Source organism: Homo sapiens, chromosome 20, assembly GCF_000001405.40.
Source record: "Homo sapiens chromosome 20, GRCh38.p14 Primary Assembly".
Lineage (NCBI taxonomy): Eukaryota > Metazoa > Chordata > Mammalia > Primates > Hominidae > Homo > Homo sapiens.
Window position 1 is genome coordinate 20,512,331 of NC_000020.11, and position 26,406 is coordinate 20,538,736.

General features: G+C 42.4%; 1 protein-coding gene across 21 annotated transcripts in view; it reads right to left on the reverse strand.

The window, feature by feature from the left end:
* Nucleotides 1-26,406, reverse strand: part of RALGAPA2 (Ral GTPase activating protein catalytic subunit alpha 2) — a 323,115-nt gene that overhangs the window by 122,801 nt on the left and 173,908 nt on the right. For 20 of the 21 annotated variants that reach the window (XR_007067471.1, XR_937111.3, XR_007067470.1 and 17 more), the window contains 8 exons: nucleotides 24,326-24,454; nucleotides 23,415-23,473; nucleotides 19,357-19,465; nucleotides 13,922-14,032; nucleotides 12,500-12,568; nucleotides 12,076-12,213; nucleotides 8,587-8,770; nucleotides 183-954 (listed from right to left, as the gene is read on the reverse strand). Coding sequence is in view for 13 of the 21 variants with exons in the window: in XM_011529310.3 (XP_011527612.1) it covers nucleotides 183-954; nucleotides 8,587-8,770; nucleotides 12,076-12,213; nucleotides 12,500-12,568; nucleotides 13,922-14,032; nucleotides 19,357-19,465; nucleotides 23,415-23,473; nucleotides 24,326-24,454 (1,571 nt within the window). In the remaining 8 variants the exon portion in view is untranslated. Of the gene's footprint in view, nucleotides 1-182; nucleotides 955-8,586; nucleotides 8,771-12,075; nucleotides 12,214-12,499; nucleotides 12,569-13,921; nucleotides 14,033-19,356; nucleotides 19,466-23,414; nucleotides 23,474-24,325; nucleotides 24,455-26,406 lie in introns of those variants that run through there. The other variant, XR_937114.3, reaches the window with a different exon arrangement.

Here is a 26,406-nt window from a genome sequence, read left to right on the forward strand (position 1 = left end):
CATAATTTCATTTCTAGCTTTAATTTAGTAGCAGAAAATAAGCTGCAAATGTTAAAATAAAGAAAAATCTCCCTTCTCCTCTCTTCCCCAATCTTTTCTTCTTCCCCAACCACAAACTGATAAAAAGAACAAGTACATGAAAATAATGATAAAATAACTGGAGGTCTAGCTTGGATTGTTACCTTCTGTCCCAAGAATTCATTCCCAAGTCATCAAGCAATAACCTGCAGAAATAAAAGGGTCCTCGGGGCTCCACTGGGGAGGGCTGCCCTTGGCTGGTGACTTTCATTGCAGAATCGAAGTTATGACTCTGGATATACTCATCCTCTTGAGCATTTTGGCGCAAAATGACCTCAATGATTTCCTTCTCTTGGTCATAGTTCATGCCACATGGGGTTAGGGAAGGTTCATTTAGATTTAGCTGTGACGGTAAAAGGCATTCAGGACTTGTATGGCCAATGTTTTCAAGTAATTTGTCAAGAACATCATCCCCCTCCTCAACTTGAGAAGAGTCTTTCTGAGGTCCAAATGTGTCACGATGCCAGCTCGAAATCAGAAATGAAGGATTTCTTCCATTGGGTGCTAAGCAGCCTTCCAAAGGTCCATATAAAACCTTACCATCCCAAGAGTACTTCCCTGAGATATCCCTCACAATTACTCTCACATCAGAGAGAGAGCCCACTGGTGATCCCCCTACCGGTCCTTCTGTGGGTGTCTGAAGGTAGGAGATGAGGGTGCTATCATTAAATACAAACAGCTGCAGGTTTGGACTTCTGAACACCTCAAAGGACAGCTCGGAGCCTTCCACATGGGCATTGTCATGGTTCTCGCTGACAAGGCTGTGCAGTATGGCAGGGCCCCCACTGAGGGGGTAGTGCCCCAGGTGGTTCACCAGGTGGGCCATCACCATTCGAGCAGTCAAAGGGATCAACTCCAAACTTCTTCTCTTCTTCTCTGTAAACAGCGGTAAAGAAACATAAAGAGTCAGTGGTGAATGAAGATTAAAACTCAACACCTTTTTTTTGGGTGGGGGGCAGGGGGCAGTTCCAATATGGTAGATTACAGGCTTTTAGTGTGCCTCAGCCACTTGGAAATAGCAAGATAGTGCAAAAAGATCAACTCTCTGAGCTTTAATTCAGGAAGGAAAATGGGAATCCACTGGAATCGTGAAGGATGTTCCAGATCTCAGGGAGGACAATGCAGGCAAACAGCCCTTGTGATGGCATCCAGCTGGTAAGAGTGAGTGAAGCCCCAGTACCCGAGACAGAAACAGTCTCTCTCTGTAATTTACCCTTCCACTGGGGATCCAAGCAACCCAGGCCAAGGCAGAGAATGATGTTTCTCTCAAGCCCCAGAGCTATCTTGGGGAGAGACTTGGAGGTGCTGAGAGGAAAAGACACCAGAAAAAGCTGCAGGCAATTCCTAGATCTGGGACTGAGAGACAGGAGCACTTGCTCTGGAGTGGGGCAGGGACTTCCACAGCCAGAACTGTGGAAAGCGCACCAGCAGGAGGCACTGGAATTGCACTCTTCTCAACTGCAGGCTTGGGGTGGGAGGAGAGAGCTGCTACAGCTAAAGTTTCTCCTGGGCAATGAGACTTGCAGCCAGGGCCAGCTTGGCAACACAGAATCAGTCTGCATGTGTCATTGCTGAGTGCACCAGGCTGCTCCCCTGAGATCATGGTGCAGCAGGGCCCTCTCTGTTCCATTCCCAGGCAGGACTCCAGGCAGTAAGTGGAAATCCTTTCCTAGACTGGCAGCCTGAGCTGCCCCAACCTTCCTGTGCACACATCATGGTATAGTAGGGCCCTCTCCACTCCATGCTTAGGCAGATCTCCAGGCATTCAGAACACCTGCTTGCCTGGATGAGCAGCCTGAGCCATGCTACCCTTCCTGGACATAGATTGTGGTGCAACAGGGCCCTTTCCGCTCCGCACCCAAGCAGATCTCCAGGAATTCAAAGCACCTGCTCACCCGGACTGGTAGTCTGAGCTGCTTCACCCTTTATGTAGAGATCCTGCAGCAGGGAGCCCCTCTCTGCTTCATGCTTAGGCAGGTCTCCAGGCACTGAGAGCTCCTGCTTGCCTAGTTCAGCAGCCTGAGTCTCTCCATCCCTCCTCTGCCGAGATCCTGGTGCAGGGGAACCCTCTCCACTCCACATCCAGATGGATCTCCAGGTATTCGGCACACTTCCTCACCCAGATTGGTGGCCTGAGCTGCCCCACCCTTCCTGTAGAGATTATGGTACAGTGGAGCCCATTCCACTCCATGCCCCAGCAGATCTCCAAGAATTCAGAGCACCCACTCATCTGAATCAGCAGACTGAGCTAACTTGCCCTTCCTGTGCAGAGACCATGGTGAAGTGGGGTCCTCTCCACCCCATGCCCAGGCATATCTCCAGGTAGCTGCAGTGCCTGCTGATCTGGGTTACCAGCCTGAGCCACCCCACCTTTCTTGTGCAGAGACTGTAGTATAGCAGAGCCTTTTGCACTCCAAGCCCAGGCAGACTTATAGGTACCTGGAGCACCCAAACCCGCTCTCCTGATCAGGAGTTTAGGTGCCCCTCTGCCTGTGCAGAGAACCAGGAGCCAAGGAGATTTCCCAGCTCCATGTCTAGGCACACCACTGGGCACCTGATCGCTGCCCACTGGATTCTCCCTCAGCACTGCTACTTGTGCCCAACACCAGGGGAGCTGTAAATGAGCCTGTCCAGTCTGGCTCAACCCATTTTGCCCCCTGCCCACCCAGGGCTAAGCAGTGAGCTCAGACCACTGTGCATTCCATGGACCACTCCATTGCCTGAGGCAATAGAGAGCTTCTGCTGGTAAACAAGGATCAAGTATATACCTAGCCACCTTGCCCACAGCCAGCTTTTACCCATAAACACCATCTACTGGCTTGTAGGTCAAATCGCACAGCCCCATATAAAACCTGCCGACAGAAGTGCATAGGGCTATAGAAGCAAATCCAGAAGATGGCAGATTGGAGGCAGTGTTAGCATGCGTCTCCCACTGGGAAGGACAGAATAGTGTGTAGAGATTCACACTGTGAACTTTTTTCCAAGGAGCAATACAGGAACTCAACAGGAAAACTGCAAGAATCCACAGATCCTTTGAAAGAAGCAGAAAGCTGAAGTCTACTCCATGAGACAGGTAAAAAACTATAAATCCTCAGAGTGTCAGTCGGGGGAGACTACCTTCAGAATACACATCCCTATGAGGGAATCTGAAAATCCAGGTCATGGGAGAAGGCCTTAACCCTACCCAGAGCTGGAACTGCTTAAGGGAGTGATGAGAAACATAAAAGTAGAAGCAGCAGCAGGAAATGCCTTGCAGGCATTCTCAGTCTCCAGCATGAACCGAGGGAAGCCATACCTGAATATATCTCACAGGGGACCTTGGGGAAGCCAGTCAACTAGCTCAGAAAGGGGTTGCAGGGTGAAAGATGCTCCTAACTGAATTTCGTGATATAATCTCGAGCAGGGATAAACTCCTTTGACCAGAACCAATGGGAGTGGGGCGGGGGGGGCAGGGAAGTGCACTGCAGACACATCTGCCTCATGGGCAGACAGGAGGGGCACTACCCGAAAGCCAGGTGGGAAAGCTTATGGCCTGCGGCAGATCTGGGTTCTGCGTGCAGACTGCCTGGATCTAAACCTGGTGCTGCTAGTAGAACACTGAGGGAGTGAGACCGGCCTTGCCAACTGCATGGGAGCTGGGCAAGGCTTACTGCTGCCTGCTACTCTCCACTCCCATTGTGAACTCTTCTGTGCAGCAGAGGCAGTTATACTATCTCTGGAACATTACCCTGAAAACCACCCCCTGACCCTCAAAGGAGCCATGGCTGGCCCCACTCAAGGAGAGTCAGAGCACAGACCTGCTCAACCCTATCCCCACCTGTTGGTATGTATCCCTGCACCCACCCTGGTAGCTTAACACAAAGGACATAAACTTGTGGGAGCTTTACAGCCCTGCTCATTGCCTCAGAACCAGATTACTTCCCCTAGGCAATTTAGGGCAAGCTCAAATCCCACAGCTAGTACTGCAGCTGGTGCTCTCTTGCAAGCACCACCTCATGGCTGCAAGCTAGCTGATGCAGCCCACTACAGCATCTACAGATGGAATAACACTGCCCAGGAAGGAGAAAATGGCTGAATGACCTCAGCTATCACCACTGCCTATAATACTCTAGCCACCAGAGGTCCTGAGCCTGTCGAAGTTAAAGTTAACTACAATTAAAACCAGCATTCAAGAAAGCCAGCACACTAAGCATATCTATAACCAAGCAATCTCACAGAGTCTACATCACTCCCCTGCCACCTCCATCAGAGCTGGTGCTGGTACCCACTGCTGGGAGACTTGAAGAAAGGTCACATCACCGGATCACCTGCAGACATTTCCCAGCAGCAACCTGGAGTGTGGCAGCCCCACTGGGTGGCTAGACCCAGAAGAGCAATAGCAGTCACGGTAGTCTGGCTATCAAGAACTCCTATTCCTAGGGAAAGTGGGAGAGCACCACATCAAGGGAACACCCCATGGGACAAAAGAATTTGGACAGCAGGTCTTGAGTCCCACATCTTTCTGCCGGTTGGAAGTCTCCTGCAGCAGACACAATTGCAGTGCTGGGTGCAACAGGGAAAGTCTGCACCTCTACCCCAACAGGCAGGCAGCCTGCATGCTTGTGAAGGGTCGTGGAGAAGGGGTCCTTGTTCTCCACCTTGTCCACCACCATAGACACAACTGGAACTTCTCCCATGCGAATTCAGCATGAATGTACCTACAGATAGCCCTCCTGGAACAATTCACGGTGGCTGCATCCTCACAGAAGCACTCTCCAAGTTTAGGCTTGCACAAGAGGCAGAGTCACAATTCCTTTCTATATGGAACATCAACATCCCTCATCCCTACAGATGAAAAGAGGTGCCTGTCTGATGTGAATAGCTGAAACATTAGGACAGGAGTGAGGCTGGGAGGTGGGTAACTTTCTTGCTGGCCTGACAGGGGAGGTGGATTAGTTCCCAATCTTCACCCTGATAAAACTCAGTGCATCTAACTGAGAGATCCCCTAGCCACATTAATCAAAGCTGGGGCCTCAGCCCACCATTGTGTATTGTATCTAACCACCTGCTTTAGCTGCAACTGGTTTCTATCTAGGGATACTTCCCCTACTGGCCTGAAGCCTGGATCATCAAGAGAGTAAATAAAATACTGGGGAAAAATTAAACAAATAAAAAAGTGCCTAACACGGGGAAATGAGATAAGCTTCAAGAGATCCTTGCCATTCCAATTCCACAGGAGACAATGAAATTGCCCACACCCCGAGTACAAAACTACTACAATCAGCATCTGAGAAAGTCAGCATACAAAGACTCTCTATAACCAAGAAACTCATGTAGAGTCTTCACCCCTAAAAGCAGCAAAATCAAATTAGGCTATAATAAACTATAAACATTAAAGCCACATCTTGAAGAGGGGGAAAAAAGAAATTAAAAAAAAAAAAAGTCAAATCAAGAATAAATTCAAGAACAATTTGAAGAAACAGTCTACACAAATGAGAAGGAACCAGAAAATACAGGTAATATGATAAAACAAGGTTGAAAAGATCACACTAGCTTCCTAGCAATGGATCCAAACCAAGATGAAATCTTTGAAATACCAGATAAAGCATTCAGAAGGTTGATTATTAAGCTACTCAACGAGATCCCAGAGAAAGGTGAAAACCAACATAAATAATTTTTTTCCCCCCGAGATGGAGTCTTGCTCTGTCACCAGGCTGGAGTGCAGTGGTGCGATCGTGGCTCATTGCAACCTCCGTCTCCCGGGTTCAAGTGATTCTCCTGCCTCAGCCTCCTGAGTAGCTGGGACTACAGGCACCTGCCACCATGCCCAGCTAATTTTTTGTATTTTTAGTAGAGATAAGGTTTCACCATGTTAGCCAGGATGGTCTGGATCTCCTGACCTCGTGATCCACCTGCCTTGGCCTCCCAAAGTGCTGGGATTACAGGCGTCGGCCACCACGCCCGGCCACCCTGACCAGAGATAGTTTTGTTATGGATGATGAAGCATTACACTGAGTGAAAAAAAATACCCTCAAATTTGAGCTCTTTCTTGCTTAACCTAAAATACCCACGCTATCACCTTTATTTTTCCTTTTCACTTTCTATATGATGTATCCGCTTGGCAAGGACGTGCACACCAATATGTTTTTAAGCATCTTGCCTATTTGCTTAGTTAATATGTCAGTGAATTTTAAAAACTCCTTTGTCAGAGAAGTTTAAGCAATTATTTTTAGTACTTTAGAACTATCTTGGGAATGTTTCCCAAAGAGTATTGTACACTGAAAGAAAAATGGTGCCAGAATTTAAATGTATATTTTTAGGTTTTTCCTTTTTCAATAACCTATTTATCTTCTGCTATTTTTAAGTGACAACTCATAATAAATGGTGAACCTATTTTAGGGATAGCCATGTTTTGGGGATATACTCATGTGGATGAGTATAAATTGATGACTTTAGGAAAAAACAAGTTAATTTTATTATAAGACATATGAACTTACAGTAGGGAACAACGAAATAGATTAAGAGTTGTTTCAATTACTTAATAAAAATAATTTATCATTGTGGGGGAAAAAGTAAAGCAGACATTGCAGTTGACAGTGGAGCTCCAGAAATAAACAATTAAATGATTAAATAAATGGAGAACAAATCAAGAAAACAACATGAAAATGAACCATGTACCATCCACCACCAACACAACTCAAAACAAGAGTGTTAAGTCTACTCCACGTCAAAACTTTCAGAGTAAATAATGCATTTTAGGAACTTGGTCATTAAATCTTAGGTTCAAATTCCACCTCCCTTACTTCTGACTTGTACACACCCCTGGGAATATCCCTTAACCTCAGTTTGCTCATCTACAAAATGCAGCTAAAATCAGGACTGCTAGATTTTAAGCCCTTGCTCATGACTGTCACCCCCAGTCCTGTCTTTTTCATCCTCATCTCACCTTCCCCTTCATGTCAGCTTGAACCTTGCTCCAGACTCTGTAGTGCTGCAAGCATACCCCTGGACCTTTGTCCTCCCTCACCCAGCCACTGCCTGCTGTGTCCTTCCTCCTTCCACTAAGGGCCTCACAAAAGGAGTCTGACTCAGGGATCTGACTGTCACTGCACAGGTCACCTGCTCATGTTATCTGGCTGGACCCACCACTCTGGTGAAAGTGCTCTGGCAAAACCTACCACCAAACACCTAGTTGGGAAATATAACAGCTCCTGTTTCATTCTCACCTTCCCTAAGCTTTCTGAAGCAACTAGCACTGCTGACCTTTCTCAACTTCTTATTTGCTTTCTTCCTTGACTTGCTAGAAATGACTCTTTCTTGGTCCTCTTTCCACTTCCCTGACTTTGCTTTCCTGGTGACATTCCCTCACTCTGCTGTCCTTAAGGATGTTTCTGCCCACAAGGTTCTAGTCTTGGGCCTAGGTTTTTAACTTGTGAAGTCCATACAATTTTCATGGATGATCTAACACTTCACACCTACATCTCTTTAATTTTTTTTTTTTTAAGATAGAGTCTCACTCTGTCGCTCAAGCTAGAGTGCAGTGGCGCTGATCACAGCAGCCTTGACCTCACAGACTCAAGTGGTCCTGTGCTCAAGTGATCTGCTCGCCTTGGCCTCCCAAAGTGACGGGATTACAGGTGGGAGCCATGATGCTTGGCCTTCTTCTAATTTTTAGTGTTGAGACAACTGAAGATTCACATGCAGTTGTAAGCAGTAATACAGAGAGACCTCAAATACCTTTCATCTCAGGGTAACATCTTGCATACCTATAGGACAATATCACAGTCAGGAAGTTGACATTGATAATAATCCATCTATATTACTCAGTGTTCACCAGTTTTACATGCATGCATTTGTGTGTGTGTGTGTGTTTGGTTCTATGCAATTTTATCATATGTATAGACAGTATACCCACATTCTACTCCCATTCCAAGGCCCAAAGCTGGGCTCTTATCATTCTGGGGAGAGGGGTGCTTAAGTAAGAAATACAGCAGGCTCTAAGTCCTGACAATCCCTATATGCTCTGAAATGGACTCTCTGCTATGAGCAGAGCAAATCTAAAACTGTAGCAAGTAAATTTCCATCTCTTTTTATGATGCTCTCCTAACTTGGAACAATCTATGAGCTCCTTTCAACACCTGCCCACCCTGCTAAGTCTGGCTTAAGTCCTTCTTCATGGAAAGCCCTCATGGTGCTACCAGTCCACAGTGAGTCCTTCTGGACTTCACTGTGTGTTTTCCATTAGATGTAAAGCTCCTTGAGGATAGAAAATGAGCCTTTTTTGTGAGTTCCATGGATTTGAGACATACCTGTCTTCAATAATACAAAAACCATTTGAACTACTAAAATGGGAAAACAGAGGAGAAAAAAAGAAGAAACAAGGAAGGCAGAATTTGCCATCACAGAGGACTCCAGGAACTAGGATTTCAACTTCAACAACTAGATTAAAAAAAAATAGAGCAAGCATGGCTAAAGGCTAAATCCTTCCTTTTCCTTCCCACAAGATTTCATACCTGAAAGAATACTCACCCTCTTCAACAGTCAGCAGGTTACCCAATTCTGCTGATGAATGATACTGGACTGGCTCAGAGCTCTTCACATTTGCCAGTGGCAGGAAGGGGTCATAATCCGTGGATGACAAGTCAGCCAGGGTCAGTATGTAGTGACTCTGTTGGGTGTACGTGCTTGAGCCACACACACAGCAGTGCAAAACCTGTGAAAACAGAGGCCATGTGCACCACGGATGCTACTCACCGCGTGTCCCCTGACAATCTGTCAAACTACTGCAGCACTTGGCAGCTAGGACTCCTGCTTGGTCCTAGCTGGAAATGGAATGACCACTCTTAAATATCTTCTTGCTATTAGCAAATTTATTTTGCTCCTTTCATATCAATGCCAAGAAATATGTTCTCAAGGCAAAAGGAAAGTAAAAGTTAAAAAGTACTTATTCACATTCTGTGTGATTGCACATACCTAAGTCCCCCTCCTGTCCACCAAAGGCGGCACAGGTAGAAGGAACTAATCTGGGGATGAAGGGTAGTGGTGGGACAGGCCAATCACGGTGGAGGGTGGAATGAGCACAACAAGCAGAGACCATTAGTGCACGTCATAACCAGTAATGAGTTTAAATTAGTATAACTCATGACGCCATAAATTGTAAGGGCTAACTTAATACAATTTTTAAATTATTCTTATTTTCACAAGATTAGTTCCTGAAAGTTCACTGGTTGTTTACAAATTGCAGTTGATTGAAGATCTATCTACTCATTTGAGCCTTTGTACACATACAAGCCATGCAAACACAAATCATCTTGAATATGCCAAAATGCATAAATGAGGTAATAATTGTAACAGATTTCCCTTTTTAATCATAAATTCAAGATCATCAACTCCAAACACTGATTTTTATAAGAATCAAGGTAATACTTGAGAAAATAAGAAAACACCATTGGGTTAAATATATTTATGTAAAGTAAATTCACTTTTAGATGACTAGCTTTGGTTTGCTGACATGGCAAGAGGCCTTGTGGTCAGGTACCCTTTGTAAATAAGTACCAAGAATTACAGTTGTCAGGGCAACCACTTGACTATGTCCTCTTCCTAGCAAAAAATGCAGTATAGGAAAATCCTTATGGCAGCTCTCTTATTAATTTAAAAATTAAGCTGCAATCACTGAGAGAATTAATTTCTAGTAGCCAAAATGCAATAAATGTAGGAAATGCACATTAAAACCACACGTTATGTGTAAACTAGCACAACTACTTTGGAAAATTATTTGGTGTTCACCAATAAGGCAGAATACATGTATTCCAGCAACTTCACTCCTAGGTATACACCCAACAGAAATGCATACGTATATGTACAAAAAAAAAAAAAAAACCTTGAATATTCACATTTTATTGGTCCAAAACTCTAAACTATCCAAATGTCTATGAACGGTAAAATGTATAAATACATTGTGGTTTATTCTATGTAATACTATATATCACCAAGAGTGAAAAATCTGCAAATATTCACAACGGTTTGAATAAATCACTCAAAAATAATGTTGAGCAAAAGATGTCAGACAAAAGAGGATATACTGTATGACTCTTGTATAGAGTTCAAAACAGGCAAAACTACTCTGCTCTGTTACACAGGATAGCGGCTATCCCTGGACATGGGTATGGGACCAGTGGCTATGGGGAGGCACAGAGAAGGCTTCCAGGATGCCAGGAATGTTCTGTTTCCTGATCTGGACTCTGATTTTACAAGCATGCTCACTTGGTAAAAATTCACCAGGCTTTCACTTACAGACTGATGCAGTTTTCTGGAAGCATATTATACTTCAATAAAAAGTTTACTTTTAAAATACAAAACAAACAGTTATTTAGTAAATTTATGAATTTTTACTATGAGGTGACTTTTACAGTGGTAAAGCAATTTTAAGAGAAATCTTTAAGAAAAGAAAGAACTCAGAAAAGAGATTTACAAAAGTGATTGTGGCTAATGCCGTTGGCCCAAACCAAGCTCTGTACAGGTTTATAAACCACAAAAACAACAGAAGTATCTAATGAATCCTAATATAGTTATTAAAATCTTTGACTACTGAAGAAACCATTTAAGAATACACAAATACTTTTTAGTAGAATTTCAACCACAATTAGGTGTTTTTTTTTTAAAGTAATACTTTTAAAAATAAGGCAACAAAGTAATCAGTCTGTGACTTGGACTCTTTTTTATTATTAAAGGTTTCTTACTAAAAGAATAAACCACAGAATTTTCCCTCCATAGCAGTAATTATTCAGTGGACATGCAAATGCTAAACAAACAACCAAGGTTTGAGAGACACTGTTAAGACAAATTACAGAAGGATATTATAAGCAATCCAGAGCAAATGCCACACCTAGTCATCAGTGTGTATGTGTGTAGAGGGAAGGGATGGGGGGTTAACTAAGAATATTTTAAATGTTATAAAAATGATGACGCTAATTACTTTGATGTGACATAGTTCCTTAATTTATTTCTTAAGATTTTTTTGAGGCAAAACGATTATTAAGACCATTAAACCTTTTTCTTCCTTTGATAAACAGATTTTGTCAAACTAATGCTGTATACAAATAGATAAAAGAAATAAGACCTGGTGTTCTATAGATTAGTAGGGTGGCTGTAGTTAACATTAATCAACTGTAGATTTCAAAATAGCTAGAAGAGAATAATTCCAGTGTCCCTAGCATAAAGAAAAGATAAACATTTAAGACAGACAACCCAATTACCCTGATTTGATTACGTGAATGTATTAAATTATCAAATGTACCCTGAAAATATGTACATCTAATATGTATCAACAAAAATAAATTAATCTTTTAAAAAGAAGCTACTTGCCCTAGGGAAAAAATTAATGTAGATATCCCTATAATATGAACAGTTCTTTAAGTAGACATAGAACATGTTCCATGAAAATTGAAGAATTCTGACAAAACTGCAGTTGTTTAAAGATTAAAGATGATAGTCATGTAAAATGCATGCATCTTTAACTTGGTAACTAACCACTGCTTCTTTACATCTGTTCTGCTTTCAGTCCTTAAGTTATTTACTTTTTTGGGGGGGGATGGAGTCTCGCTCTGTTGCCCAGGTTGGAGTGCAGTGGCGAGATCTCGGCTCACTGCAAACTCTGCCTCCCAGGTTCACGCCATTCTCCTGCCTCAGCCTCCGGGGTAGCTGGGCCTACAGGCACCCGCCACCACGCCCGGCTAATTTTTTGTACTTTTAGTAGAGATGGGGTTTCACCATGTTAGCCAGGATGGTCTCAATCTCCTGACCTTGTGATCTGCCCGCCTCGGCCTCCCAAAGTGCTGGGATTACAGGAGTGAGCTACCGTGCCCAGCCAAGTTATTTACTTTTTAAGAAAACGTTTAAGCCACCATAAATCCTTTTCAAAAGGGCAATGACAAATAAGTACATGCATAAGACATATTTTGGTGGTTCTCTGTCATATAAACCCACACTCCATTCCCCCAGGCCCAGGTGTAGACTCACCCTGTAGATATAATCCAGCAAGGGGGCTCTGGCCGAATGCTGCTCCTCTAGGACTGCTGTGGACACGGGGTGGAGAAGGACACTCACGGGCAATGCCATGCACCAGTCCAAGAGGCAGAGTAGCAAGGACACAATAAACTGGAAGAAGAACATGCCCGGTAGCTTATGCTGCAGTCTCTTAAACCTCACTACATGTAATAATAAGAGAATTATCCCTACACCCAGTATTCAGTGGACATGCAGGTGCTAGATAAGTAGGTAAGTAAATAAATAAATAAATAAGTAGCATTTTCACAAAAAAGACTGTTAAGGCCAATAGAGAAGGATATTACAAAGGATATCACTAGTTGTAACATTATTTATCATTTTACCTTACATTAAAATAAAAAAACTATAGGAAAAACTTAGTTAATGTGCCACCTACCTTCTTGTCTGTTTCCACTGAGGAGTACTCTGCACTTGGTAAAAGAAAAGCAACTGTGGCCACGAGGATCTGCATAAAAGATAAATCCCCAATCAAACAGACCATATTTGTAAGCCTTTGTAAGCCTATGTTAGGAGTCCCACGATGGCCTTGCAACTAAACCCAGCTTGGTGCCAACTCACCACAGAAAGGTGATAAAAAGCAGAGGGCCAGCTGTGTGGTGATCTTGAAAATTAGGGAAAGACAATGGGGCCACATCCAGTTTCCACTCTACTTTTCTGGTTGAAAAATTAGGAGGGAAGGCAGAGAAAAGAGTATTTCTCTCTGCAGTCACATAATTCTGAACATTGGTTTCCACAGTTTTCATAGTGAAGTAAAAAAATACTTCTAAAAATAATTATGAAAATGCTCCCATTTTAGTTTTATTGTAAATTACCCTACATCTCCACCTGCTATCCTGGTGTAAACAGCACCCCTTTTATTCTCAAAAGCAGTCCCATTTAGATGATAAATTACATCATCACCCCAAAACCCTACTTTCCATTTCAGAGCACTTTATGTTCCCATGTCCAAACTCCATTTCACTCTAGGTCACTTAAGGTCAAAAATCACTTGTGCCTTTTAACGTGTCTCTGAGAGAACAAAGTGTTCTTTCCAGTGAAATCTGTCTAGGGCTGAGAGAAAATAAATGAATATCACTTCTCTCTCCTTGTAATACCTCATGGGGACAAATGAAGTTTCCTCGAAGAGTTACCACTGGATGTATAAGAACAGGGCATGTTTTTAAAGTGCAGCTACAAAAATCAGTAGAAGTGCCTTATCCCATGGACACCTACGGGAGTGAAGCTGCCTGCTTGTGTACAGGCAAAGCACACTTGGATGCAAGTGGCCTTCAGGATATGACTGTGGAGAAGATTCTTCCTATTCCTTCCGCCCCTCTTTCCTACCAGTTACCCCCACAAAGGTTATCGTGGTAGCAATCTCATTACAGCCGGTAATCATGCTAGGGCAGAAAGTGTGGTCCAGGGCTTTAGTCTGGGAGAGACTTCTGTTTTACACAACAGCTGCCCCCCTCCACCCCTCACGGAGGGCATCATAACCAGCTGCCTACTCCTTGTTGGCACCATCCAAATTGCTCTTGATGAATGAAGCCCAATCTACAAAAGGTCTCTTTGTTGTGGTCGTGCCTGCCTTTCAAACTCCCCAAGTATAAGCCTCTGTCTGGAATACTGCTGGCTTCTTTACATAGTGCCTGAAATCACAGCTGAGAAGAACCAGTCTAACTTAATCTTAAAACGAGTGACTTGTGGCAATTTAATAGTTGGTTCTCTAACAATTATTTGAATATCTATAATTAATTAAATATCAAATACAGTAAAAAGGAAATGCTTATGTTTTAGTATTACAGAAAAAAAGACTTACTTCTGCCATTTTCCGAGGCAGAGAGGTTTCAAACATCTGAAGCTTCTCCCAGTAGGAAACCAGCAACTGAAGGACATCGCAAGCTACCTGGGCCACGATTTTGTTGGGAAACTATAAAAGGAAACCGAATCCCAAAGCAGACACATAACTTAACAGGTGTATCGTTCTTAAGGACAAAATAGTTATTTCTTCTCAGTTCCTTATAGATTACATTTATCTGTTTTGCCTCAAATTGATGAAAAATATGTCCTATTACCACAGAGTTTAGACATCGTCACATCACCATTTTAAAACTGTCTCTTCTCTAGCCTCACTGTGTTAATTTACATAACGTTCTACAGGAACAAGGAGCTTTCATTTACTCATTTGGAAATTAAAACCATAATTCAAATTTCTTATTCAGCTCACATAAATCATATTTTTGACAACTAGAGAAAATTAAAATGTACCCCCATACACTGAACCTTTTACAAGGATTTTACTCATTCTCTCACTGATAAATCTTCACTGACAGCTCTGCAAGGTAGATGTTATTTTCATTTTACACATGGAGAAACAGGGATTGATCAAATGGCTTTCTATCCTATGAAATAAAACTTGACCTACATGTATAACATACTAAGAATGTGTAAAATTAGAGTGTAGGAGAAGATAACTAATGAATTATGGTATACTCAATTATTTTGAGTATGTTTCCTGAGGCTGGCGTGCATCTCAAGTCACCAACAAGGGCTGGATGCTTCCATTGATTGCGAGGCAGCATGTCTAAGGGCAGCACCTTCAAGGTCTTACTTTTTCATGCTGGGAGAGCACAGAAGGGACAAGGGCACCCTCTGCTTCCCTCCCTGGCCAGAACATGGGGCTACACCATTATCCATATCTCATTATCTATAGCAGGAAAGGTTCGTCGCTGACCCTAGTCTAGGGACACCTCACTCTAAGCCACATGAAGCAGACCATCATCAACTTTTAGTGCCCCAGTGACAAATGTACAGAATAAGGAAGAAGATAAGGGAAAGGTTTTTAATTCTACAGAATAAACAGTTACTGACTACCCCTACCTGAGAGGCACTAGCTAAACCCAGGGTTGTAGTCGTTGCACTCAGGGGCTCTTCACAGCCTTCTCTGGCCACAGAGACCTCACATCCCAGATGACCCAATTTCCACTGACCTTGTTCCATCTCTCAAACACTCTGGCTTGCTTCTGCCCCATGGCCTTTGCACCTGCTCCTTCCCAACTTTGCTTGGAACACTTAATCCCCAGGTCTGCATGTGGCTTGCATTGTTATACCTTTCAAATTGTGGCACAAAATGTCATCTCCTCCCTGAGGCCACCACACCGCCCTCCCCCCACACCCCCAAGAGCTGGGTGGTGGCCCACCCCCTCAGCTCTTCAGCTTCATCCTATTCCCCTATTAGATCTCCTTCACAGCATTACAGGCTATCAGCGCTGACCTTTTTGTTTGTTATTTTCCTGCATATATTGTTCACCACTGTATCTTTAATGCCTAGCATGGCCCCCTTAAGGATGTGCGTGGTGTGCCTAAGGTGAAGATGAAACTCTGAGAGAGTGGGAGAACATGAGTGGGCACTGTGTGTGTTGCTGATGCACCACAGTGGCAGAGTCACCAGGTGGAAAGATAAGGCTGGCAAAGCTCTGAACTCAAGAAGCTGGAAACAGACAAGGGAAAATTACGAGAGCCCACAGACAAGACACAAAAGCTATGGGCAGACAGGAGTGGGACATGAGGCTTGGGGGAAAACAGGCAGAGAGAAGGCATCGTGGAGGGAGAGGAGAGCTAAGCTGTGCCTGGAGAATGCAGGGGGGATGTGGGGTCTCCTTCCAGGTATGGGTGGCAAGGCCCAGGCACCAAGGTAGGAAAGGTCGGTCGGATACAGGGGGCTGCAGGCAGGGTGGTGTTACTGACATGTAATGAAGGAGGTGGGGAATGGTGGAGATGAAATAAGCCATTCATTTGCTCTCTCACTTCTCCAGCATATAGTCATAGAACACCAACAGAGTGCCATGCTGAGCGCTCCAGCCTGTGGGCTGCACAGGTCAGCCTGTGCATGGACAGATCCCTCTGACGGTGGTATGAACAGTAATCTGTGGGGGCCAGTCTAGGACTGGTGACTCTGATCAGGAGGCTGAGTATTGGCAGGGTGAGTGTGTGAGGGATGGACTTGGGCAGTGGGTGGGACGGACGATGGGTATTCAATGGGCATTCAGGAAGTACAGCTGGCAGGACTCAAAGCCAGAAACAGTGGGGTAAGGAGAAGGAGGAAAGTCAGTCATGTCTCAGAAGACGAGGTGGGAGAAGGAGCAGGGCTGGGCAGTTCACAAGAGTTGGTGAGTATGGCTGTGGCTTAGAACCACCTCCCCCAACCACCCCATGCCTGCCATCCATCTGCTACCCCACCATAAACAAACCAGCCAACCAACACCTTGCTGAGTGGAATGCTCTGCACATTCATGGGTGCACCTAGGTCACCCTTGCAGGGCATTTCTGAAGGGTTCTTACAAGAGGGGTGGTGCTGGCTTTATGTGGAGCCCGTAAAGCAGGAAGCCCTGCCAGAGCTTGCACTCTCCGCTACCCATGAAGCAGGCTGAGGCTGGGCTGGGGGTGGGGCCAAGGCCCCCACTGCCTCCTCTTTCTCCATCTCTCCCTCCTGGCAGAGCCCCAAAGCCTCCTAGAGTCCCCTGTTCTCATAGTGGTGGTTGTTCTCCTCGTTCCTTGTAGCAACTCTTTCCCTCCCAGTCCTCATTTCTTCGATTTATGTGCTATGTCCTTAGGTAAAACAACCCAGTTGCCACAGCAACACGGAAACTAGAGGGAGGCAGGAGAGGAGGGCAGTGGGGAGGGAGGTGTCCTCAGAGACCAGGACTTAAGTCAATGAGTTTCCTGTTATTAATAATGGTTAAAGACAGAACAACTTGGCTGCATCCTGATCCCTCTGCTTTCTTAGCAATTCAAGCTGGAGTCAGTTCTTTGACCTTCCTCAGTCCTCTTCTCTTTTGCTGCTATCCAGAGGGGGGAGGATTCAACAGGACAATCTCCATGCTGTGCTGGGATAGCGGACAGAGTGAGAGCTCAATATGTGGTAACTGCATTGTTTTTCTGGTGTCTTATATTTTCCCCCATAATTATAGAAAAGTTGCAGAAAGAATATCTATCCCTCTACTCTGTTATCAATTTCCATCTCTTTCCTATACTATATAGAAATATATATACAGTCATGTACCTCCTAAATATGTTTTGGAAACATTTGGTAAGCACCACATATACAACACTAGTCCCATAAGCTTATAGTGCCATATTTTTACTGTACCTCTTCTATGTCTAGACATGTTTACTCAAGTACTTACCATTGTGTTCCAATTGAATATTCAGTTCCTACAGTATTTAGTACAGTAGTGTGCTGTATAGGTTTATAACCTCAGAGCAACAGGCCATCCCACACAGTCCAGAAACCATCTAGGTTTCTGTAATATTCTTTATGATGTTCACACAACAATGCAATCACCTAGCGACACTCTTCTTAGAATGTATCCCCATCACTATGCGATGCGTGACTCTGTGTGTCTGTGTGTGTCTATCTCCTTCAATCTAACACACCGAGTTATTCATAGTTTTTCCATGGAAGGAGTAGAGATGGGGGAACCACCTTACATTAACTATATACATCTAGATTTAAGAAAAAATAAAAATTCAAAAACAGATCTTGGAATTGAAAAAGGGTATTTAAAAATGAATTGGAATCTACATTGATCTATAATTTATAGCCAACTTGTTTTCACTTTAATAAATTATATGTAAATATTTCTCCATGGCTTTGGGAGTCAGGAGGTATCCCACACACCTCAGTTGTGTAAAACTCCACACATGTGGCCAGAGTGTTCTGGGTTTGGCTTTGGCAAGCTCCTTCAGTTCCTAGTCAGTTCATCTACCTCATCTGTGAAGTGGAGGTGGCACTGACATTTCCCCTCACAGGGCAGCTCTGCGGATTAAACTTGCCTACAAAGGTCAGGGCTCAGCACCCTGCTGTGGCTGGAGGGACACTCTTCTGTGATATTTTGGTTGGATAATTTTTCCATTCCTCATCACAGGGATCAGCAGCAAGTGTTTTTCCAGCTCCCATAATACAACCACCACCCCCACCTCCACTAGGTGTTGTGGAGGAGAAATAGGGGAGGATGAGGCAATGGGGGTGGTCAGAGGGTGTACTTGGGGAACAGGAGGCATTGAGTTTGGTCAAGCAGGGGCCAGACGCCAAATCAAGGATGGGAGACAGCACTGGCTGGTCATCCTATGGGCAGAAGCAGATAATGCACAAAGGGTGGTACAGAGACTGTTGCTGGCCTGATGGCGACAGTCCCAGGCGTCAGCTGTAAGTGCCGTTGCTATTATAGCTGCATGTGGCAGGGGGCACAGAAGGGCATGCAGCAGCCTGAATGCTGGTGTTAGGTGGATGGTTCAGGGGTTGAACTTTGGCTCAGTGAGGTGGTCATTCTAGAGCCTTGAACAAGTTCCTTAATGATCCTGCACCTCAGTTCCTCCACCAGTAAACTGAGGACGCTTACCCCTGAACTAAGAACTTCCACAAAACCCTCAGCACAGCGCCTGGCAGAGACCAGGCACTCACTGGTTCCCTAAGTGTGATAATGGCAATGCTATTTATTACCACCATTTCCAAGCAGGACCTAGGAAAGGATCCAGCAGGATTTGAGCTCTGGCTTAGAGGCAGCCTAACAGCACCTGTGAAAGTTCAAGCATGTCTTTAACACCACACAGATCTGCTTTTATTGCTGGTTCCATCACTTATACCTGTGTGGCCTCGGGCTTGTGACCTAATTTCTCTGGGCCTTGATTTCCTCTGGTATAAAACAGAAATTGCAACATCTATCTTGCAGAGCTGTCTTGAAGATTAACAGAATTATTTAGAGTTCGCCATTACTCTGACCTAGTGTGAGTGCCCAGTGAATGGCAGTTCTTCTTCTCATTAACAAAACAAAGAAACAAAGATGTCCTTAAAGTGCCCAAGATTCAGCCAGATGGTGAACACTGAGAGGCCTAACTGGAAGGTGTGGAGGCCTCTCCCAGGCCTGCTGAAGAGGCCAGAGCACGACACCCCACTCTCTTGTCACCCCCACCAACAGGTGACAGGTGACCTCTTTGCGACAGGAGCTTCCCAGCCACCAGAGGAACCCATTTGGCCACTGGTCCAGGAAGACTCGAGACACTCGTGGCCAGGCTGCAGCTGCCAGCAGGGGAGCATCCGTTGGTGCCCCTCCCGGGAGCCTCACAGCACATGCAATGGGAATCACAATCCCTCTGTCATTTGGGGGATAAAAAAGATGGGGCTAATTCAAACTCAAACTGTTAAATGCCTCAGATATGGCTTAATATCCAATCAGCACCACAAACTGGTAATACCTTCAGAGTTACTCCTATCACATTGATGGCCTCTTTCACCTGAGGGTGGCTTGTACACTGTGCAAGCTCTTCACATATCCAGACCCCAAGGGAGCAAACAGCAATGCATCTTTTTAAAAAGAAGAAAACAGAGGAAAACTCTCATGAAACTTAATATACTTTCTCAGTATTTTCAAATAACAAAACACTTTAAATCTATTTATACAAAATAGCAAATATTATAGATCTATTAGCAGAATGTTTTCTTGAAAGAAAAGATAAAGAACCCTCAATAGGCCAATTTTCAGGACAAATAGAAATATTGATAATGGTTTAGTACTTAAATATTTAATTAAACAAATGGCATATTTTCTATTAATTGTCACAGCCCATATATATCACTTAGTTTTGTTGAAACTAATAGGTTATTACATTTGACTGTTTCAAGATATTTTTGAGGAAGAATAAGAAACATAAATCTGAGAAAACTGTCAAAAATTGTGTTTGTAATTGTTTTCTTTACCATAATATGCACAATACCTATACCACAAACATAAAACAAATGCTATATTTTATTTTAAAGTATATTTAAATACAACTTTCAAAATAAATTTCACTGTTAATTCTTCTCAACAGTGTGCTAGGACCAGATATTCTTCACAGAAAGCCGACCATGCCATATACATTTCTATTCTGTTTTTAACTACACAGAAATTTGGCTTTCTACACTAAAGAAAGAGAGAGGAAGAAGAATTGCCAAGACTTGATGGTTTAGATGCAGTAGGTGTAGGAAAAAGAAGAAATCAAGGGTTTTCTCTAAATTTCTGAACTGAAAACCTGGGGGAATGGTGGGGCCATGTGGTGAGATGAAATCTGAGGAACAGTCAGCTCGGGGGGTCAGAAGGAGACTCAAGGGCTCAGTTATGGTTGTGTTAAAACATTCAAGTTGAGATGTCAAGTAGGCCGTTTAATATATAAGTCTGAATATAAAAGGGGTTCACTGAAGAGGCAGGTAAATAAATGAGCAAGAAGATGGTATTTAAAGGCTGATCAGAATAAGAGTGCCCAGGAAGTCATAGAGAGAATAGGCCCAGCCCTAAGCCCTGCGTCACTCTAACATTCATCAGAGATTAGGTAGAGGAGGAGAGGTCAGCAAAAGGGACAGAAAGGAGAAAGTTCAGTGAGGCAGGAGCAAAATTAGGGAATTATGTTCTGAGGAACATGCACTATTCAGGAAAAGAGTAACGAGAGACTAGCTGCAGGCTTGGTAAGTATGCATGTTCAAATACCTAGTAGAACCTCTAAAAGAAGGAAAGGGAGCCTATGATTTAAAAACAACTGAGATAATAAATAGAATGGAAAAAAAATCCAAAAAAAAAAGAAGAAAGAAAGAAAGAAAAATGGGATGGGGAAATGAAGGCAAGATAAAGGAGAAATAAAAGAAATATTATACCTTATTTTTAATAGGATCTTTCTTTCCTATTAAAAATAAAGTATAACATATGATAAGAGAAGTACATCCAAACAGATCAGTAATTATAACAAACGAAAATGAATCTAAAGCTTCAGTTAAAAAATAAAGGTGGGATGGGATAAAATTACAAAATCTGGATATATACAGTTTTTGCATAGACATCTAAAAGAAGACTATAAAAAGGTTAATTAAAAAGAATAGAAAGTATTATTTAACTAAACCAGTGGTCTTTAAGATAAAAAAAAATCCTCCTTAGAAATAAAGAGTCACTACAAACATGTAAAATATTTGATTCACTATATAGGACAATTCTAAACTTTTACGCAACTAATCACATAGCCTCAAAATATATAAAGCAAAATTTGACAGTATATAAGGAGAAATACATAAACACACCATAATAGCAGGAGATTTTAACATTTTTCTTCCAGAAGGTGATCAAGCTGATGAAAAAAATCAGACAGGATACAGAATATTTGAAGCCCAGTAGTAAAAAAATTTAATAAACACAATTAGAAGACTATGCCCAACAAAGAACTGGGCATTCATTTTTTTCAGGTTTATATGGGATACTGACAAAAACTGACTACCTAGTGGGTCATTAAGCAAATTTCAACAATTTCAAAGACTGCTGTAAGACATTTTGATCCACAATGCAATTAAGTAAGACATCAGTAAAAAAAGATACCTATAGAATTCAGACAAAGTAGTAACTAGCAATAAAAATATAGTCTTAAATGTTTATATCTGTGCAGGAGAAATTAATATACTAAATATATAACCTTAAAGGTAAGATTGTAAAGAAAGTAAAAGGAAGGATAGAAAAGAGCAGACAGTGGCAAATAAAAGCAAATATAAAATAGAGAAGTTGAACAAAGACAAAAGCCTAGTCTTTGAAAAGACTAATAAAATTGACAAATTTTTGGCAAGACTAATTAAAAAATCAGAGGATACACAAAACGTGTCAGAGATTAAAAAGTGGATGTAACCATAGAAGTGAAAGAGATAAAAGATAATAGAGATGGCTGGGCGCAGTAGCTCATGCCTGTAATCCCAGCACTTTGGGAGGCTGAGGCAGGCAGATCACGAAGTCAGGAGATTGAGACCATCCTGGCTAACACGGTGAAATCCCGTCTCTACTAAAAATACAAAAAAATTAGCCGGGCATGGTGGCAGGCGCCTGTAGTCCCAGCTACTCGGGAGGCTGAGGCAGGAGAATGGCGTGAACCCGGGAGGTGGAGTTTGCAGTGAGCCGAGATTGTGCCACTGCACTCCAGCCTGGGCGATAGAGCAAGACCCCATCTCAAAAAAAAAAAAAGATAATAGAGATAACTCATAGCTCATATACCAGTATATTTTAAAATTTAGGTGAAACAGGCAAATTCCTAGAAAAGTTTGGTTTATCAGTACTGTCAAAAAAAAAAAAGTAGAAGAAGAAGAAAACCTTAATAGTCCTAAAATCACTGAAGAGAATGAGTCAGTGGTTAATCTTCTCATCAAGAAAATATTAGACCTAGGTAGTTTTACCATCAAGGTCTACTAAATACTCAAGAATATTAACTCTAATTTTGTAAAAACTCTTTCTGATTAAAGAAAATGAAATAGTACTTATTTTGTGAGACTTTATAAAATTATAATCAAACCTGATAAGGGAAGGATGGGGAAGGAAAATTATAGGCCATCAATATAAAAGCAACTTTCCTGAACAAAGTATTAGCCAAACCAAGTCTGGTATCACATAAACCAAGTTGAGGTTATCCAAAAACGCAATGTTAGCTTAATATTTGCAAATTATTATCAGTTTAGCTTCTGGTAAAAGCAGACTAGGAAATTTGAACTAACCCATCTACTGAAGATAACCAAAGAAATTAGACAAAATACAAGAGAAAAAACACTTAAAATCATCAAATAGCTGGTAAGGCAGTGATGAATGATGGGCTGCTGTCTTGGAATGAGGCTACAGAGGGAGCAGAACATGAACCGTTCCTAGGAGGGAGTAAGAGGCTGAGCTGGGCTTCTGGTGATCTTATGGGGTTTGAAATTGAGGATCAGAGACAGGTGTTCCCCTCCATTAGCATTCCCAGCTTTGGTCTTCACGTTGGGAGGAGAGGCAGAAACTTTTCAATACGTAAGTGGCCCAGAAAACCTCATATATCTTGATCATAGGTTGCTAGCAACCTCAGATGCCTGGCAGAAGCAGCCAGAATATTTCCAGACACTGCCAAATGTCTCCTGGTGTAAAAGATCATCACTGGTTGAGAGTCACTACCCTACACATACACCATTTCTATAAATATTTGGTTTATATTTTCATTTTCTTTCTTCTTGAAAATATCAGAGGATACATGATTATATTTGTAATCTTGCTTTTTCTCACACAAAATAGTGTACTATATACTCTTCTGCACTTTACAATTTTTACTTAATAATGACATCTTTTTAAATAATCATGCAAAGCATCTTCCTGGCATCATTCTTCCTAGACTTTTCAGTCTGTATAAGAGCTATGTGAAAGAATAAGTGTTTTCTTTTGTAACATTAACTACTTACACATAAATGTGTATCTTAAAATTCTAAAATAGTTTACCTCTTATTCAACATTTACCTTGCATATTCATTTGGTTCTTCTGTGGCATTCTTCAGTAAAATATTTATGAGGTAATGCTAAAAACACAAAATTAAGTAAAATAAAAACTTTGTGTCATAGTTGGTTTCCCACATGTTCTGACCATGTTCCAGGCAGCCAGGAGCTACTGAAGTTCGACCAGGGAGCTCAGAGAGCTCATCTATGAGTGAGAGCCTGGGGGGAAGAAGAACACTGGGCTCGGGGGAGCGGGTGGTAGAAGATGGGGGTCTCCACAGGGCCTCCTTAGGCCATTCAGCCCGCGGGAGTAGAGCGCTTCTGGTATAAAGCAAATCAGACTTCCAGATAGGAAAATCTCGGTTTTCTTTTACTTCAATTGAATTATATGTTGTACACTGAATTATATACTGTAATTATGTTTTATAGTTTGATTGATTCTGGGATTCTAAAAGCATTTTTGTTTACCTCAAAGTCAGCTGAGGAGAGAACAAATGCTTACTTTTATTCTCCAATAAATAATTTAGAATCTCAAAGTATTAGCAGTATTTAATCAGGCCAACAAGGGGATTGAATATTTAGCTTATTTCCATTATTTCTTATAAATTAACTTGATGCACTAATGCAGTTAGTTAAGCTAATAAAATTATTACAAAGGGCAATTCACTACATGATTATGATCCTTAGGTCCAATAAACAGGTATAATAAAAAACACCTGCTATAGCTACAGCTATAAGGTCTAACTGCAATATACTCTGAATTTAACACATGCATAGCCCATGAATAGTCTTCTAGAAACAACTACTGAAACATTTAAAAGATACAGCAAAACTTCAGGAATAAGCAGATTAATATACACTAATGGAAGAGATAATCATACATCTAGAATTATAAAAAGTACTAAACTTGAGATACAGTCAAATGCGTTATGTACCTTGACATCTTCAGTTCCTGTAATGGCCTCATTTACTTCTGGCACTGACTGCAGTAAAGGAATCTCCTGGTAGGTATTTGGAAAGCAGACCAGAGAGCCGAGGACAGTGACAGCCTCTGAACGAGGCGCCTGCACATAAGGAAGAGGAGCACACACATTTCTCTTTTTGTAAGTTAGAAACGTTAAATAAGTGACATGTTTTACTCTTCATCCTAGATAAAAAATACCAAACTTGGCCGAGTTATTCTCTTCCAAGTGCATATTTAAGCAAAAGAGGTTTGCCTAAATGAAAAAGCAAATTTCTAAGTAATGGAAAATATCACTGTACTTGGATGTAAACAAGTGTTGTGGAAACTGATCTGCAGATTCATTCAGAATTAGAAAGGCCAATGACTCTGTCATGACTGTTTACATTGTTTTACTGCTAATGTTCTCAACAAAGCAGGGTAAAGGATATCAACTGAATACCATTTTGCTGTTAAGAACAATTAAGGAAAATTCATAGGGAAGTAGAGATGGAGGTAACTATCGGAGAGTAGAAAGAGAAGACAAACTATCAAATTTCCCATCTACTGCCAAGAACTGCTTTACGAAAAAATATAATGAGATACTATATCACTATATCTAGTGAGATACTTTTATTTGCCCAGTGTTAGGATTAGGTATATATTTTAAAAGGCATGGCTGGGTGCGGTGGCTCACACCTGTAATCCCAGCACTTTGGGAGGCTGAGGCGGGTGGATCACCTGAAGTCAGGAGTTCGAGACCAGCCTGGCCAACATGGTGAAACCTCTTTTCTACTAAGCATATAAAAATTAGCCAGGCATGGTGGTGGGCACCTGTAATCCCAGCTACTCAGGAGGCTGAGGCAGGAGCATTGCTTGAACCCAGGAGATGGAGGTTGCAGGTAGCCAACACAGTGCCACTGCACTCCAGCCTAGGCAACAGAGTGAGACTCCATCTCAAAAAAAAAAAAAAAAAAAAAGGCATTTCACTAGATTTCAACTCAGCCAACACTAGCAGATATGGTTAGCCAAGAATAGGGGACTACACAGGTCTGTCATCAATCTACTCACCTATCTGTCCATCTATATGTCTACTATTATGTAATAAAACAATGAAAGCTCACATTTAAGGAGTTCTCACTCTGTGCTAGGCACTCTTCTAAGTGCTGTACAAGCATTTCTTCATAAAGTCCCCTCACCAACCCAATGAAGAAGAGGCTACTGTTTTCATTTTCCAGTGAGAAAACTGACGCCAAAGAAGTTAAGCAGCTTTTCAGTGTCATATGGCTCCTAAGTGATGCACCCTGGATTTGAACTGAGGCCATCTAGCTCCAGGTCCAGACTGAGCCTACAGTTAAGCACTTGGGCTATAAAATCAAAGAGAGCTTTTCTCCCTCAGAGAGATGAGGCGCAGTATGTGAGGTAGGTGAGGAGAGGCAAATAACAGCTACACACAATTCAGTGAAGCACCTGCTAGGAGAGCAACATACTGAGGATAGCATGGGAGCCCAGTCCTTCATTTTTTTACCTAGCTTGGTTCCCATAAGTACACAGGTAAATAAAAGGCAATATAAAGCACAGCAGAGCTATTCCATGGGATGAGGCAAGGATTGGTTCTGCTCAGGATGTTTAGGAAACCTAAAACAAACTACTGCTAAGGGCCACAGAGGAGAGTAGAAATCAGGCAGGCTGGCGGTGGGTGAGGGAGCCAGTTGAGTAGGGAAGAGGAAGGTGTCCATGAGATGGGAGGCTGAAAGGGTCAGAAGCAGTCGTTCCCAAAGTATGTTCCACTAGGGCCACAGGGACTGTGAAAGGGCAAAATCAAAGACTCCCGGGAAAAAGACGTTGCAGAGACATTTGGCTAAGCACAATTAAACAAAAGCCTTTAACATGTTATTGTACACTGTGAATTTCCAAGTGAAGAAGTGTATTTCCCAAAATTATTTGACTATGAACCTGGCTTTCTTCCTTCCCTTTCCCCCAAAGTATCTGGGGAGATTACTGTTCTGAAGAAGACTTTTTGAAATGCTTGTCCTGAGGTTAGGAGAGAAAAGTCTGGGATAACAATTCACATGT